Below are 18,582 nucleotides of genomic sequence, written 5' to 3' on the forward strand. Positions count from 1 at the left end.
ACATCCTCAAGACTTTAATTCCTAGGGAATGCAAACTGATTCCAAGGAAATGTTCTGTGTCCTTTTAGGCAGCTGCTTCATGCTTCGTCCTTGAAGAAATAAAGTCATAAAGTAAAATACTTCTTAACACCTTGGAGGACTTATATGAGTCTCTCAAAAGGTGTTTCTTCTCAACTCTGGCTGCACATTGAAGTTACCTGTTTAATTTAAAATTCAGATAATCTCATCTCAACCTAGACCTTTTCAATGAGGAGCTCCACATGCATGTGTTTTTCAAATGCTGCCCTGACGGTTCTGAAGGAAGTATCAGGGTTGGAATACATTGTCTTATCTGGATGGATTAAGATAGAAAAATGTGTGAACTGATATCTAGTGTACCCAGTGCCAGCAGCCATGATTCTTATCTACATGGCAGCAGCCGCCCGCAGATCTAGGCCTGGGAGCTGGCCTGAGGCATTTCCAACTGGACTGGAAAGCCTCCAAAGAGGAGAATCTGCCCTGCTTAGGGCTGGCCTCAGGGCAGGTGGGGTGAGCTGGCTTCCCTGCCATTCGACTCCTGCCATCTGGGTGCCAGTCTTGCCTTATGCCCCTCCCTAACCAAGAGAACTTTCTAGAGCAAAAGCAGTGAATCTTAAGAATAAACTGTGTGGGCTTCTTTTTAATGCATTCATATGTGCAGAATGTAGTCCTGGCTCATCTCCGTCTGCCTTAGTGATGCTCTCACTGCACTAAATATTTTGACACTAGGAGAACACGACATTAAATATTTAACATGGATGGTATTATTTTTATGACACCCTTCATGATTCCCATTCTTGTTGTTTAGGCCGATATAAACTAGCTAGCTCACCTATTATAACAACATAAGAGCAGCAATAATAAATATTATGAAGTGCCTCCTGGGACACTTGAGAGGTAGTTTTAAAATGCAAGCTTTCCCTGAAAGAGTTTACCAATTTTTCTGCATAACACAAACAGAGTGAACTATCGTAACTCCGAAATACCCATAGAGTTTAAATGGTGTATGAATATTAAACATACAAGAGTGTTTTAGGCATGTCACTCTTTCTGGAAAGTCTAACTTGAATAAATGTCATGATGCATACATATTAAAAATGAGCAGACCTTTGTATTTTTCCAAAATTGTCTAAAAATATTTCTTCCTAGTTTCCTACTTTTATGGATAAAATCCTTCTTAAGAATTGCTGACAAAAAGAAAGAAAGAAAGAATTGCTGACAAGTGGTTGCCTTCTGAATCAGCAGGGACTGCTGGCCACATGGCTTTGCCTCTGCTCCCAGGAGTCTATTAGGAGTGATGATATAGCTTAGGTAGGAGTGTGGCAACCTAATATTTCACACGCTGTCAGAGTTGAGGCTTAGGGGAGAACTCGAGGAGAGAAAATAGAAGGGTCTGTACACAGAGGGGTTTATTCAACAATCTGGGCATGCAAACAACCCATGTGCATGCATGCACGCACACACCTCATCTCTCTCCATGCAGCCACAAAGGGATAAGTAGCCCTCATTTGCCAACCTATGATTCAAAAATGAAACAAGTGGCTTCAAAACCATTAGTAATGGGGGACAAAAGGTCCTCTCTAGGCCCAGATCTGGGCAATTTGCTGAAATTCATCATTTATAAAGACGATCTCACTAAACATCATTACAGCCATGAGATGGAGAATTAGTCCTTGCAGCCACCAGCTCCATTGTGAGAAAACAGGGTCAGGGAGAGGCGATATGTCTTGTTCAAGGCCAGTGTTAGAGACAGCAGACTCACCCATTTTCTATCCCTCCCTGCTCCACTAGCAGCCTCGTCCCTTATGGCCCATCTACTTCCAGCCTCCAAGCACACACAGCCACTGCTGTCACCCACATCTCTTCATGTCCCAAACTTCCGCTTCCTCCTTGAAATGAGAATGGCTGCACCAAATGTGTAGGGCCCCTTGCGTCTCTCACATTCAGGCAGTAGTCAGGTGATGTCATGATTAGGTTCGGCATGACTCTGGGTTGGCAGCTTGGTGAAAATGTCTTTACTTTGGACTAGAAAATGTCAGAACCTGAATGACTCCTGACATCCATCTCCAGAGTTAGGGTAGACAATGACTTATGAACGCTCCACAGACAGAATGGGGACCGGAATCCATGTCTCTTGGCCCACGATCAGGTGTGCTTTCCCCATGAGAAATTTCAAAGTAAGGATGCAATTGAGTGCAGGCATTTTGGTTTTTGTGTGGATACCATCAATGAAGCTCCTAGTGCCTGCCTTTCCCTCCTTTGCACACTGCCCTAAAGGCTTCACGAGGTCCCCATAGTTCCTGTACTCTAAGCAGCAGCCTGACTAAGGCACATCTTGTGTATATACAAGTCTATTCATGTTGTTTACCTCGGGTTTGCCTGTGCATTCTACATTTATATAAAGATTATTTTTCTAAACTCTGTGCAGCATAAAAACCCAAATGAAATTTTTGTAATTTCAATCAATAATGCAATTAAGCTTATCTAACAGTAAGGCAAAAAATAGAGAATCATTTGAATCCTGTCTGCCAGTGGAGTGGGGCTGTGCTGTGTCTGTGCCTGCCTCTGGTATGCCCAGGTGAGGAGAGCACAGGGCTGCAGGCAGTCATCTCTGAAAGTGCAGTGTACGTGGCTGAATGACCCTCCAGGGGCCAATGCACCGAGGATGACTGTGCAGACATTCATAGGAATGCCTTAAGGGCCTCAGCTGAATGAAGAAGAAATAAAGTCTCAGTTCTTTTCAGGCGTATTGAGTATGAATGAATCAGAAACCTTCCACAGTAAGCCAACAGAAAACCCAGCTCAAAGCAAGCCAAGACGTCAGCTCTAGCAAAAACACAAATTTCTAGGCCCACATGAAAGAATTTCTAGGCTCACCTGGACAGTGGACCCATATGGGTTTATCTGGGGATCAAACTGTGAATTCTGTGAGCTGCAGGTTTGTTCTATTCTCAAGCTGTCCTGAAATAGGCAAGAGGACTGCAGAAGCTTCATGCCTCACATCCCATTGGCTCTGGTTGGTTTATGTATCCATCCCTGAGCCAATCATCAAAGACTTCAGTCTCTCAAGACCCACCCTGACACTGGGGAAGGGTACTTTAAATCCATCCAAACTGCATTCTGGGAGTAGGGAAGTGATTCATTCTCAAAAGAAAATTAAAGAACTCTTAGCTAAAGAGGGGAAATAGTGGCTGAGGTAATAAGCAGATGACCACCATGAATAGTTAAGAAGAAAACATATTCCTGGATCTGGGATGCCTTCCCCTACTTATTTGGCTTATCTGAGCCCTTTCTATGTCATTGGTAGCCATAGTTGAAAACTGAAATTCTCCCAGCTTTTTCTATGGCATGAGGTATGCTCAGAGTTTTGTGAGTCAATTCAATTTGCCTAATTGACGAAATTTTCCATTGCAGGGTAAATATACAGCTTTGCCTTCTTGATATACTCTCTCGTTTCTATGTTTTTAATAATCTCAAAGGATTAGTGAGACCTAAGGCTCATTTACAAATAAAAGCTTCATCCTAACACCTGGATGATGAAAATATGCAAAGAAGGACCTCCATGAGAGAGAAGCAGAAAATACCATCAATACTCATTTCATATCTGACAACTAATTACAATTAGAGGAAAAAGAGGCTACCAACACATAATTATAGGAAATGGGTGATGAGGTAATGAGCAATGGCTAAATTGGAGCTGACGGTCTAACCATGAGGATTTCTTTAGCTGAAAAGAAGGAAGCAGGACCTGATTTGGTTCTGTGCCTGGAATTAGCTTCATTTTTCTTCATAGTCTCTTACTTTGCCTCCCTTCCCATATCTCCACCTTATGCTTGACAATAGCCTTTCCTTTGGCCCTTGCTGAGCTGTTTCTTTTGGCAGCAATGTCTGTAACTGCTCTCTGAAGAATAGAGGACACAGGACTGGTCCTGAGACATGTTGCTACAGGTGACCTTCTGTCTGACTTCGTTACCTAACCCCACCATTCTCAGGGCAAAAGAGAGGAGCACAGCAGTCCCCCTCCTTTTCAGTGCCTTCCAGGGAGGACTGGTTGGCTGTCCTGGCCCTGCTGATGGATTTGCTGCCTCGGATGTTGCCTGCGTCTCAGTTTGTGAACTCTTAGACACTGCGACTGACTCGGTCATCCCTGTAAAGCACGGCCAGGCACTTTTTCTGTCATTTTTTCATGTGTTCATGGATTTCACAAAGATGCAGTAGACGCTGTGCTGGGGAAACAGGGAGAAACGACACACAGATGCCTGCCCTCACAGAGCCTATCTAGGGAGTGGAGGAGACGTGGTTCTCAGGATGAATCAGATCCTTGGGCTATATGCCCCTAAAGGACACCCTGCATTTTTTACTTGCGTTTGATGGTGATTAATTTTTTAGCCTGACTTATTTCCTGCTGGATTATCAGTTCAGAACACATGACTAGAACAGAGAAAAAGGTTCTCAATATACACTCATTTATGGAATGACGAGTGAAAGAATTCAGGACCACACAGTCAGTACTCTGAAGGAAATATAAAGCGTCATGGAAACATGTACAAGGGCTGCCTAAGCTAGGGTTAAGGGAGGTCATGTAAGGCTTCCTGGAGGAAGAGTAGTAAAGGATAGATTGGGAAGGAGCCAGGTCAAGGAGAACACAAGGAAAAGAACAATTAAACAAGAATGTGATAGAAGTAGAGAGGCAGAGAGATAGAGGTACAAGACATAGAAATGGCCCAGGGGAGGAAGTGACCACCTCTTTTGGGGGAGTAGGGGAAAGTGCTGCTGGAAGCCACCTGATGTTGAAGGATGAATAGCAATCTGTCAGCTTGACAAGGGAAAGAAAGCCACAGGCATATCTTGTTAAGTTTTCTATTTACTCCTCACTTGGGTTTTGGCTTGATTGTTGCTTTCCTGAACATTCAAGTCTGGGCTAGAGGCTTCCTACAAGTTCCCATCACGATCCCTCTTATCAATATGTTGCCCCGTGGTTGTATTTATTTTCATATTTGCCTGTCTTACCACTGGATTGAGAGTTCTAGGAAAAAGAGACCATTACTATCATTTGCCATTTTGACACTACCATCTGGCATGGCTCTGGGGGAACATTGGGGGTTTAATAAATATTTTCTAAGTGAATTAATACATACATTTCAGGAAGAGGAGCAGCTTGGAAGCCTCAATTAGCATGGCCTGGAGAGGGAGCCATGTGGGAGAGAAAAATGATAACAGATGACTCAGAAAGATTATGAAAAGCACTGAAGCCATGTCACAAAGCTTGGTGTTTATCTGTTGTGTGATTGGGAGTCATGAAAACATTTAACTCCAGGAGTCACTTGGCCAGATACATTTTAGTCAGCTCACCATGGTCACAGTGCAGATGGCAAGGTGGTGAGGGTTGAGAATAGAGGTGGGGAGACAAGCTCAACGACTTGAGTATTCTCACTTTTACGGAAGATTAAATGTAGCAATACATCAATTGCCCACTCACTGTAAGCCAAGCTCATCATACTGTCAGCATATACAGACAGCCCATACGGAAGGTATATCAGGGCAGTAAGGTAAATGAGGCTTGACCAAATTGGCAAAAGCAGGTAGAGAAAATACAAAAGGAAATATATTTAAAAGCATAAAATAACATATCAGAAAAAGATCTCTAATATAGGTGTCATCATAGTAAACTACAAAGTTTCTGAGATTGGGTGAGGAAAAAAAAATGCTAGTTCCTAGATATTTTCTGTAAGGAAAAGGTCAAAGATAAATAGAAAATAAATAAATGGGCAAACAGACAAATCAAAGAAGAAAAGGAAATCAAATTTGAAATGTAAAATTAATATGAAATAAACAAACTAGAATTCAAGGCAAAGAAAAGACAGTAATGAGAGGTGATAACTAGTGGGGTGGAGTCCCTGAGAAAGAAGAAGGAGTTGGGATCCATAAGATAAGTGGAAAAATAAGCATTGAATAGAAAGGACACCCTTCCACAGTGGCAGGAAGAAAGGAAGAGAAGATGGTACTGTTTTAATTTATGTTCTCTTTGAAGCAGGCTCTGAAACAAGGATTTGAAGGCAGGTAGTTTGATGATTTTTTGAGATGTGAGATTGGAAAGGGAAGGTGATAAAGGACATATAATCAAGTCAGTGCTAGTGTGGGTAACTGAAGCTGGAATTCCCCTGGGACTCGAGCCAGTGTGGAATGCACACCTACCTGAGAGTGAGGGAGATGGGGTGTTTCCATACCATAGAGAGTCATCAAACATCTAGAAGCCCCAGGGAAAACGGGCAGGGCACCAATTGTGTCTGCCATGGGTCAGATAGTAGATATGGCAAGAAGTAGAGAGGGTTATAGTTTGTCTTGCTTTATTTTCTTTTTGAAGCAGGAGGCACTATTACCTGCTGAGGTTAAAGGAAGAGGACGTAGGACCTGAGGTTGAGAAAAGTGGGGCAGGTTTGAAATGCACACATTGGAGAAAACTGACTAGAAAACAGAGGACTGTTGAGGGTCTATGAGGGACTAGAGACAAAGAATTTACACTGTGTCAGTCTCTATAGTTTGTTAATTTCCCCAGCACAGCTCAGCACCTCGGTTATAGGTGATGAGCAGCCAGATAGTCAGATTTATAAGGATGTGGGTTTTTGTCAGGCAGGTGCAATGAAAGGACAGTGAATCAATGGACTTGAGAATAAAGCAAGAGAACCTTCTAAATGGTGAACCACATCATCTAGCCACCCTGACCCTCCTGGATAAGGAAGGAATTGAAGACAGACATTAGACAGAAGAGAAGGGAAAGAGTTTGAAGTCAGAGTATGTGGGGAGAATGTACAAAATCTGCAAGAGTGAGATTCTAGCTCGTGGAGATTAATGACCAGATCTTACATATATAGATATATTTGGAATTAAATAAGGCATACCTTCACCCAGGTTCTGTTGTGTGCATGTTCAGTTCTATTTTTCATGGCAGCATTGCTATCTTGTTGTATTTTTACCCCATCAACATTTTCTTCTGCTCCATCTAAAAGTCTATGTCTATCTTTTTATTTTATTTTAGTTCCAGGGTACATGTGCAGGATGTGCAAGTTTGTTACATAGGTACATGCCTGTCCTGGTGGTTTGCTGAACCTGTCAACTCATCATCTAAGTATTAAGCCCCGCATGCATTAGCTATTTTTCCTGATGCTCTCCCTACCCCTGCCCACCCCCAACAGGCCCCAGTGTGTGTTGTTACCCTCCCTGTATTCATGTATTCTCATTGTTCAACACCTACTTATGAGTGAGAACATGTGGTGTTTGGTTTTCTGTTCCTGCATTAGTTTGCCAAGGATGATGGCTTCCAGCTCCACCCATGCACCAGCAAAGGACATCTCATTCCTTTTTATGGCTGCATAGTATTCCATGGTATATATATACCAGATTTTCTTTATCCAGTCTATCGTTGATGGGCATTTGGGTTGACTCTGTGTCTTTGCTATTGTGAATAGTGCTGCAATGAACATATATGTGCATGTATGTTTATAAAAGAATAATTTATATTCCTTTGGGTGTATACCCAGTAATGGGATTGCTGGGTCAAATGGTATTTCTGGATCTAGGTCTTTGAGGAATCACCACACTGTCTTCCTCAATGGTTGAACTAATTTGCATTCCCACCAACAGTGTAAAAGTGTTCTGATTTTTCTGCAGCCTCACCAGCATCTGTTGTTTCTTGACTTTTTAATAATGGTCATTCTAACTGGCATGAAATGGTATCTCATTGTGCTTTGATTTGCTTTTCTCTAATGATCAGTGATGTTGAGCTTTTTGTCATATGTTTGTAGGCTGCATAAATGTCTTCTTTTGAGAAGTGTCTGTTCATGTCCTTTGCCCACTTTTTAATGGGGTTGTTTATTGTTTCTTCTTGTAAATTTGTTTAAATTGCTTGTAGACTCTGGATATTAGACCTTTGTCAAATGGATAGATTGCAAAAATTTTCTCCTGTTCTGTAGGTTGTCTGTTCACTCTGATGATAGTTTCTTTTGCTGTGCAGCTCTCTAGTTTATTTCCATTTGTCAATTTTTGTTTTTGTTGGAATTGCTTTTGATGTTTTTGTCAGGAAGTCTTTGCCTGTGCCATGTCGTGAATGGTATTGCCTAGATTTTCTTCTAGGGTTTTTATAGTTTTGGGTTTTACATCAATGTCTGTCTTGCATATTTTTTTTAAAATTGAAGTTTATACTTGAAAGTTTGTGATATCCACAGTGTCCTAAATGCATGCAATTTATATAAGCAGTGTAAATTTAAGAAGGATTGGTCTTTTATTCAGGGGGATTAGTGGCTGCTGTGTTGCTCTTCCAATTGACCCATTGGAACCACATGAAAACAGTGGATTTTCAGTTACCTCTGCTAAGAGAAGGGAACTGTGAAATCGAAAATCTAATTGTATTTTTGTTTGTCTTTGGAATGCACTTTCTATTTCTATTTGAATCTGGGTGTCACAGGCATAACATGTCAGTGGAAAATCAAGAGTCATCTACAGTTAATAAAATATGTAGGAACAATATAAAGATTTAGTACCCCATCTCAGGGTAGCATTCGGTTAAGCTTTTAGATTGCCATAATAAATTAATCATTCTGCATGGCACCAGTGGGAGAAATTCCACTCTGACCCCATCAAAGTGATGCGTCCCACTTGCACCTTACTCTAGCAGGACTGGTGGCCCTTGTAATCTTGTCCCAGAAAACGAGACTGCTGATATTATTTTTTTTTATTTCACATTTAAAAAAATTCTGCTAAGCTTCTTTTGCTACAGTCATTTGCTGCCACTGGGATTTTTGCAGAAGGTTAGTAGTACTAATAAAATGAAGGGCAAAGCACCAAAGAGAATCTTGAAGGAATAGTCTGTAATTCTTTATTTGGTCAGGGCGAAAGACCCTGCAAGGTATTACAATCTCCATTTTGGGGTCAAGGCCACCTTCAACCTTCCAAATTTTTCTTCATCCTCTAGGACCAGTATTTATTGTCTCTCTTCCTGTCACTCCAAGGCTTCTCACTGTACTGGGACCTCATAGAGTTCATTCCTACAACATCCCAACCCACTGCTTAGACAAGTTGTCATCTCGGCTGCCATTACAGTCACAGGGGGAGCTTTTAAAACATACCTGTGCCTGGGCCTTTCCTCAGACCAATCAAACCAGAATCTATTGCTTTGGAGCAATACATCAGCTTCCTAGGTGGTCCTCTTAATTGGGCCACAGTTGAAGATCACTGGCCTGGATAAGGAGCTCCAAATTCTGGCTTCCTGTGCAGCTGAAAGGTGGCCTGGCTCCCCACCTAAGTTACTTGCTCATCCAATGACTGAGTCCACTGGAGGCTTTGAGTACCTGGGAACATTTTTCTTCCCAGGCAGCTGCAGCAAGCACAGCCAGAGAGCAGGGCAGATGCCACTTTTGATGACCAATGCAAGAAGCAAGGGGCAGGTGAGGTATTTGTTTTTCACTTAGATTTCATCCCAAGTTAAAATTCAGAATTTTGAATAATGTTTGAATGTTTTAGTCTATTCATCATTCTTCATGTGTCACTTCAGAATAATCCATAATAAGTAATACATTTTTCTAAGCTTTGTTAAGACAGGTATGTGGTTAGAATTGATACATTCCAATGTCGACTGTGGCTTTCACTGTGAGTTCTGAAAAAGTCATTTATGTTCTTGTGGAACTTCTGCTACTTCATATATTATCTCTTTGGAGATAATAAGGAAAGTAGCATTTAGTGAGCACCTGTTGTATGCTTGTACTAGTACTATTTGTCTAGTACTATTGTCTAGTACTATTCTAGACACTGACATATACTATTGAAATCATTGACAGTGTAGGCTGACCGGGCGTGGTGGCTCACACCTGTAATCCCAGCACTTTGGGAGGACGAGGTGGGCCGATCACGATGTCAGGAATTCAAGACCAGCCTGACCAACAAGGTGAAACCCCGTCTCTACTAGAAGTGCAAAAATTAGCTGGGCGTGGTGGCGTGTGCCTATAGTTCCAGCTACTCAGGAGGCTGAGGCAGGAGAATCGCTTGAACCCGGGAGGCGGAGGTTGCAGTGAGCCGAGGTTGTGCCATTGCACTCCAGTCTGGGTGACAGAGCAAGACTCTATCTCAAAAAAAACAAAAAACAAAAAAAAAAAACCAGGATAGACTATGTCATCAGACTACCTGGACTCATCCTGGCTCAGCCACTTACCAGCAAATAAACTCAAATCACAGATTGGTCGTGGGTTTTAAACAAGATAATGTCTATAAAGGGTATAGCACTGTGCTTGGAACGATGTAAATTCTCAAAAAAAAAAGTGTTAATTTGCATCATTGTGATTTTTTTTTTTTTTTTTTTTTTTTGGTTCTCACAATACCGTGAGTAGGTATCATTATCCATTTTAGAGATAAACAAGTCTCAAAATGAACTAATTATCCATGGGCATAATCAATCTCAGGCGTGTTGGAAGGAAGATGAAAAACTTACCTTTCAGAATTGTTGGAAAATAAAATAAATAATTTCAGAATGTGTTACTTAGCCTGGGAGATAGTTAATCTGCAAAGCTGGACTCTGTTTTGATATTGGAGAGACAGTGATGAACAAGACAGACAGCCCTGTCCTTGCCAAGCGGACCTTAAAATCTCCATCTCACTTTGACACTATCACGAAGTGTGCACACAGGCCTTTTGATGGCACAGTCTTCACCACAGATGTATACTCTTTCCGAGTTAACAGAAAGTTCTACTCTCTTATCGTAAGCAGTCCTGAGGTTTGGGCCAATCACAAAATAATGAAAAATGGAGCATCACCAGACGAGATCTTTGCTCTCCAGGAGTGCCCTCTGGGAACATTTCCCTCGTTTCCCACAGCCAGGGCCCCTGGTGCCAGCAGGAAGAGAAATGGACGCCATCAGTGCTTTAAGATGGCAAATGCAAGCTTTATTCTACCATCATAACTCCCTGGATCGATGCTGACCTCCCAGCCACCCTCCAAAATGTTCTCCCATTGTGTATTCAGGTGTGGTGGCTGGTGAGTACCCAGACCACAAACTTACATAAAGGCCAGGAATGGATTCATTTAGATTAACTTATTTCCAAGCAATGAATTAATTAAGAAAAAAGCAACTGCAGGCAATACATGAATACATTGGACATTACTTCTCTGCTCATCACTTCTCCTCTGCTGGTTCTTGAATTCAATCATTCATATAACATTTCATAAGCACATCCTCTATGCCAGGTTTTGTATAGTCTCTGGGGATACAGAGTTCATCCTGAGATGTTGTTAATCTCGAAACTGTCTCAAGAAGGCTTGCCTTGTGTATTTGAGAACAATTCAAAATACTGTTGAGATAAAAATATTTATATTTTTTGATGTCTCTAGTTACCTAAATTTCTGGATAACTTTGCATACAGCTTGTTAGGAAATGTCACTTCATTCCTGTACAATTGGGACTATGGTTATAACATCATCACCTCTATGCCAAAGCATGGCTGGGAATACCAGCATTCTTACAATGGAAACTTGTCTTCAGGCCAGGCTGCCAGGAGCTGTTCTTTGCTTCTCCTGAACCATAATTAATTTATAGTCTATCATTTCAAAGGAGAATGACTCTGTAGAATTTGGACTAAGTGCAATCTCCCAAGATTGAAGATGTACCAACATTGTTTTATGATTTACTATTGCTCCATTTTCTTCTTTAACATGTTAAATTGCATATAATTACTGCAAAGGGAAGAAATAGACTTAGAAATAGACTAAGAGTCAGTGCATAAAAAGAGAATCTATGCATAGTCCTATGGGTGATGCAAAAATATCCTGTCCACTTGATACAGCTATAAATTTTCTTTAGGAAAAGGACATTACAGATTTTTTTAAGCCGAAATCATTAACAGTTGGTATCTATCAGACACAGATGAAATAAGCTAATCCTTATATGTAAATCTGTAAATCTACAGGGAAACATGAAAACTGGGTAAATTTGAGTGTAATATGGTTGGGAACTTTTTAAATCTTTGGGTTTTTGTTAAATTATCCCTTATATATTCTCTCAGTTTTAATTTTTCTGTATTTTAAAAAATTCTTAGTCAAAAAGTACATGAATCATTTTATATTCCTCTTTGAGTTTTTATTAATGATATTCAATACTCTAAATATCATGAAGTTCATATATACCTCAAGAGGAAGAATTTGAAAGGACTGTTGCAATATATTTTTCCTTCTTTTTTTACAACGTATTATCTTGTTTTCACTAAGAGAGTTTATTTGCCTTGCCATGGAATTAAAATTTATTTCCTCGCAGATTCTGACAGCTCTATAAGCACACACTGTGTTTTTTATGTACAGATAGAACAAGAGTTACTCAAAATTATTACTGTTTGGGAGAGAACAATTCACTGAACCATCAAAAAATATATCCCTGCACAAAGGTAAAGATTTGACATTAGCTTTTCACAGACAAAAGAAAGCATAAAAGAGGACACATTGACTTTCAAACTTCTTGACGGTAGCATTTTTCCAGACTTCTTTTCATAGTAACTTACTGTGGAAAACCAAAAGATAAATAAAAAAGAAATAAAAATGTATATTTGAACACATACTATATTCCAGACACTATGAAAATAATTCGCGGGGAAAAAAAAGAATTTTCAATCTTAATAATAGTTCCTATTTTAGAAGAAGATATTGAAAATATTTAAATTTGTTTTAAAAATCAGAAATTGCCATTTAGTCCTAGTGTCACATGGAAGGTGTCTAATTTTATTCTAACACTGTGTTTTTTATCTACATTAACTACTGGATACATTTACTACAGGAGTTCTTCAAAAAGCAAAATTACTAGGGCATAACAATGCAGATTGTTTTAAAGGCCCTGGAAACTTTATTGTAAGAAATAATTTTAAACATTTAAATGTCAGCAGGAGAAAATATGAGGAATTTTGACCAAGACATTTAGGACAAAATATTAAGAAAATGTAAACACTGCCTCCTTTTCATCTTTAAAATGTAGGAAGGGCTGTGACTTGTAGAAACTCTTGCTCATGAATGGATCTTCTAGTAACAAGAATATTTTTTAAATAAATTTTGCTTCTGATTATAAAAGTAATAATATTTATTTCAATAATGTGGGCCAAAAAACTAAAACACGCAGAGAAGAAAACATGTATCTAAAGACTTTTTGGCTTTATTTTATTTTAAATTTCCCTATCAGGCTCAAGATGCTAACTTAATCAGTTTGGGAGTGTCATGCCTACATCAGGAAATTTAAGGAAATTAAGCCATTAATTTAAGTTACTACATATCATGAATTCTAAGATCCAAGTATGGAGAGTAGGTCATTGTTTCTAGGGGTAGATTTAGTGCACTGAAATTTCATTCCTGTTTTGCCCACACAGCCTCTAGAGAGCAATGTCAATCCTTGCAGTCTGCTTTATAACACAAAACTGCCTCTTCTAAACTTCACATCCCCACCGTTCATCCTATTTCCAATGTCATTCCCTTGTCTTTAAACTGTACCAATCAGATTAATGGAGAAACAGAACAAAATGGTTCCAGACAGATTTGCCCTGAAACAAATCTTAAAACAAAATGGAGCTAACAGTATTCCTTGGCACTGAAATACATAAACCTTAAATCTAAGAAAGAAAGAAAATATCAAATACCTGTACATCTCTATAAGCATCATGAGGAACTTTAATCAATCCCAGATGTTTAACCCTCAAAACCTCAAGCTATGCACAGGCATTAGAAGGTCAGCCTCCAACTCCCCACAGGTTTTTCTGGGAGGCTCAGCCAGCCATCCCCATCCCAGCCTTTCCTAATGAAAGACTGGGCTACCCTCTGCCTCTGCCCTCCCAGCTGCAGACAGCCTGCCCTAGGATCCCTTCAACAGCAATCACATCTCATTGTTGCCCAGCTCTCTGCCCTGATCCAGAATTCTTAAAAGGGTTTGAGGGCTAAAAGTCAAGGATGGCTCTGTGCATGAGGTTGGAGACACTGCTCCTCAGATGACAAAAAACCTGAGATAAATCCTGATCTCAGGTGGGACTGAGAGAATTTGAGAGCAGGGAGGTGGCCGAGGAGAGTGAAGGCAAACATATGGAGTTCTTCATCTAGACAGCCAGTTTGGGGGCAGAGATAGGTGCAAAGCTTTTTTAAAAAATTTCATTTTTAGTTCCGGGATACATGTGCAAGATGTGCAGGTTTGTTACATAGGTAAACGTGAGCCATGGTGGTTTGCTGCATCTATCAACTCATCACTTAGGTATTAAGCACCACATGCATTAGCTATTTATCCTGATACTCTCCCTCTCACCGCCGCCCCCTCAACAGGCCCCAGTGTGTGTTGTTCCGCTAAACAATGGGAACACGAAGCTTATCATAAGGAAGGAAGGTTAGTGGGGAAGGCATTCAGCAGAGGGAAGAACATGGGCAGATTGTAAAGCAGGATGTTGTTACAAGCATTTAGAGCAAACCTGGGCCATACCATTTGGCTGGAATAGAGCATAGGGGCTGTGGGGAGGTAAAGGAGCATCATCACCAGGAATCAGCATGGGGCTGTGGAGTGTCCACTAAGCAGCTGTGGCAAGTCACTTCTTACCACTCACTGTCACTTTCTTATCATTTCCTCAGGTGAGGAAAATAGATGGAATCTTTCAGACCCTGTAGTTGTGATAGGGATTAGAGCTGATGTATGTAAAGCACCTAGCACCGAAGGAGCTAGGAAAGCACAATGGATCTACATGGTGGAGGCTGAGGATGTCTTTCTCATTTGGCCATAGTTTCCTATTTTATTAAGTGCTGACACAGAAACTTTAAATAGTGGAGAGGGTTCTAAGTAATATTTAGTCCTTACACACACACACACACACACACACACACACACACACACACACTATTCTTTACTTGTAAATGGAGATGCTGCTTGCACTTCACCTGCCTGAGGAGGCCCACCTTTATTTCTCCTGGCCTTTACCACTTCCTTACCTACTTTTATTGCTATTTCAAGCTCTTTTGTAAAAGGCAGGTGTGAAAGCATCCCACCCCTCAGCCCCCTTGAGGACCTGGGTGGCATTACTGGTACTTGAAAGAAAAGGTAATGAAAGTAAAAAAGAAAAGGCTAAGTTGCTATCACATTTGTCAACTCTGGCCAGATGCTCATTAGCAACAGGCTAGAAGCCAAAAATGAAAGACCAGGCTGCAGCTTGGATCCAAAAATAAGGGCCAGGCTCTGTGGAAAATACTGACAGATGCGAGCCAGAACAAGGAAGAATGCTTTGTGTGCGTCATTTGAAAAAGAACACGTCCAAGCACCCAGACATAGGTCTTCATGTAGTTTATCTTAGTGGCCACAGTAGGGTTGCTCAGAGCATTGTTTTGCCTCCAAATCACATGGGATGCTTGATAAACATACAGATGCCCCAGCTGCAGCTCATATCTGCAGAATAAGAATCTGTGTGGGGGTCCTGGGGGATTCTAATGCACCCTGAAGAGTAAGACCTATTGATCTGAGATTGGGAGAATTAATGCTTGAGCTATGATGGAGGCTGGTAAGCACTTAGGAAATTTCACTGCATTCTCCCAAAAATCCTGTGAACTAGTTATGATTATTACCATTACCATCCCATCTTGCTAGTGAGTGGTGGAGTCAGAACTCCAGCCCAGGCCTCCTGATGTCCCCTTACTTACTTAGCCTTTTATTCTAGGCCTCACCAGCAAGAGGGTATCTTCATTCCATGCCCTTCAATTGGTAGAGAGTGCCAAGGGCAAGAAGCCAATTCCTCACCTCCATTACCTGTCTTTACATCCCAGCGCCATCATGGGCCTTCCCCTCAGGCCAGATTTCTAAGAATTTGGTTCTGTTTGTTTTGTTTTGATTCTGCATGAAATAAAGAAGGTTAAGGTAACTATGTAGCTTCCCTCTCTTATTGAAATAACAGTGCCCTCTCTACACCATCCCGTGATTGCCAGGGTGCAGGAGCATGTCTGCTGGATTTAAATCCCAGCTTTTACTCCACCACTTACTAGTTATTTAAACTTTGGGCATGTCATTTAACCTCTGGAAAATAGAGATGGCAGCAATTGAGTAAAAGAAGAAGAAAGGCAAGTCAGGGTGTAAAGAAAAGGATGGGCTGGATGCTGTGGCTCACGCCTGTAATACCACCACTTTGGGAGGCTGCGGTGGGCGGATCACAGGGTCAGTAGTTCAAGACCAACATGGCCAACATGGTGAAACCTTGTCTCTAATAAAAATACAAAAATTGGCCGGGCACGGTGGCACGCGCCTGTAATCCCAGCTACTCAGGAGGCTAAAGCAGGAGAATTGCTTGAACCTGGGAGGCGGAAGTTGCAGTGAGCCCAGATTGTGCCACTGCACTCAGGCCTGGGTGACAGAGCGAGACTCTGTCTCTGAAACAAAAACCAAAACAAAGCACAAAGGAAAAGGATGAGATGCTACCGGTATGAGAAGAATATAAACTGTGGTTCTCAACCCTGACTGCAATTAGAGTTATCTGAGGATCTTTTAAAAATACTGATGCCAGGATTCCACTCCCAGAAATTCTGATTTCACTGGGGTGTGGTGAGGAATCAGGTCAGCAATACCATTTATATCCCCCCAGGATATTCAAATGCGCAGTTGTGGTTAAAAACCTCTTGTTGAAGATAGTGAGGAAAACAACCAACGTTCCACAAATGCTCTCTGGTTAGAGACACTTTCTTAGTAAGGGTGAGAATGCTTACTGATTGAACAAGCAATTATTACTCACTTACCCTGTGCCAGGCTCCAGTGCAATGGCTAAAATTTAAAATTTAAATTAAACTTAAACTTAGTCCCTGATCTCAGGATAGTTGCAGTCTAATGAGGAAGTCACAGCCAAAAATAAACTATGCGGTTACAATATAGTGTGGTCAATATGGTAATAGCAGTTAGTTCAAAATGGTAGGAGAAGAGTAAATGGAATGACTTCTTCTCCTTTCAAAGAAACCATAGAATCATGAAATAATAGAGATGAAGGAAGCTCAAGGTTCCTAATTTTGTGCATAAGGAAACAAGAAATCAAGAGATTGGAGGTTTCTCAGAGTCACAGAGTTAATGCAAGAGAACCTAAAAAATTCTAATGATGTAGCAAGACATACTTTAACTCACCAGGGGAAGTGCTAAGAAACTATGGCTTAGCAGCACTGGACTCTGAAGCTGGAGTTCTGGGTCCTGAAAAATAAGTAGAATTTGGACATAAAGGCATGGGGAAGGTTTAGATTTTCAGTGGAAGGCTCAGCCCATAGCTCAAAGGAGAACATGCTCACCAGGGTAATGACCTGGAGCTTAAGGATCTCAGGTGGTGGCCAACAGCTTAGGGCTCCCTCCTCCACATCAACTCTAGTTTTGGGCTTACACCTATTTCTTGCTGGATACGCAATTTAGAGGGATGCTCCCACCTCCAGTTCCACTCCTCTTTGGGGGTTATACTATACAACTGAGACATTGAACATGTTAATTTTACCTGGTGTATTGCTTAATTTCAATGTGACCTAGGGTTTGAACCTCTTATCTTAAATTCTTTAGTGACGTAACAGATTAACACCTCAAAATAGATGAAATGTCTCTCAATTATGACTACATTTGGTCAGTCTTGACTATATTAAGCTGCAGTTCACATGTGCTCTGTTTACCAAACTTAAAATCATTAAATCTATATTGAAATGTGTTGAATTGGCTCTCCATTCTCCCCATACTCTGACCTTGGTGTTCTCCTAGAGGTTTCACCTTCTCTCACACCCTACACATCCTTTTACACCAGTAAATACTATTGCTTCCCCTTCAAAATTTATCCAAAATTCAACCACTCCTCGCCATCCTCACTACCACCACCTTGGACCAAACCACTGTCATGTCTCACCTGGATTATGGGAACAGCCTCCTAACTGGTCCCCCATGTTTCAGCCTCGCCTCTGCAGTCTATCCTTAGCACAATAGCAGAGTGTTCCTTTTAAAAGAAAGTCAGATTGTGTCACTTCTGTATTCAAAATTATTCACTAGCCTTTCCTAGGTCCTTCCTATGATTGACATGACATGATCTGGCCCCCATGAACCTCACCTTCTCTTCTCTGGCCACACTGGCTTCCTCCTTGTCCTTGCTCATGTTGAGCAAGCCCCTACCTCACTGCTCCCTGCAACTGGAACACTCTCCCTCCAGATAAGCGCCTGGTGAGCCCCTTCACTTTCTTTAGGTCTTTTCTTGAAAGCTCCTTTCTTAGTGAATCTTATCTGGCCACCCTATCTAAAATTTCAATACTGATTCCTAGACATTTCATATACTCTATCCCTGCTTTATAAAATTGATTCTCTAACATTCATCAGTCAACATTATGTATTTTATTTTACATTTTATTTATTTGTAAAATTAACATTTATAAACACTATATATTTAACTTATTTTTGTTATTCCTTTTTCTTTACCCATATATCTGTTTCACGATGGGAGAAATAATTACCAGTTTTGTTCACTGTTGCATCCCAATAAACTAAGTACAACACCTGGCACACGGTAGACTCAATAAATACTTGTTGAATG

At 40.9% G+C, this 18,582-nt stretch overlaps 1 protein-coding gene and 1 long non-coding RNA gene across 9 annotated transcripts in view; one reads left to right on the forward strand and one right to left on the reverse strand.

The window, feature by feature from the left end:
- Positions 1 to 18,582, forward strand: part of KCNAB1 (potassium voltage-gated channel subfamily A regulatory beta subunit 1) — a 420,928-nt gene that overhangs the window by 310,667 nt on the left and 91,679 nt on the right. The gene's annotated exons all lie outside the window — the stretch shown is intronic.
- Positions 12,280 to 18,059, reverse strand: KCNAB1-AS1 (KCNAB1 antisense RNA 1). The gene is made up of 3 exons (NR_046618.2): positions 17,908 to 18,059; positions 17,157 to 17,219; positions 12,280 to 12,551 (listed from the first exon to the last, which is right to left on the reverse strand). It is a non-coding gene; the product is annotated as a KCNAB1 antisense RNA 1 (long non-coding RNA).

Source organism: Homo sapiens, chromosome 3 (genome assembly GCF_000001405.40).
Source record: "Homo sapiens chromosome 3, GRCh38.p14 Primary Assembly".
In the NCBI taxonomy this organism is placed as follows: domain Eukaryota; kingdom Metazoa; phylum Chordata; class Mammalia; order Primates; family Hominidae; genus Homo; species Homo sapiens.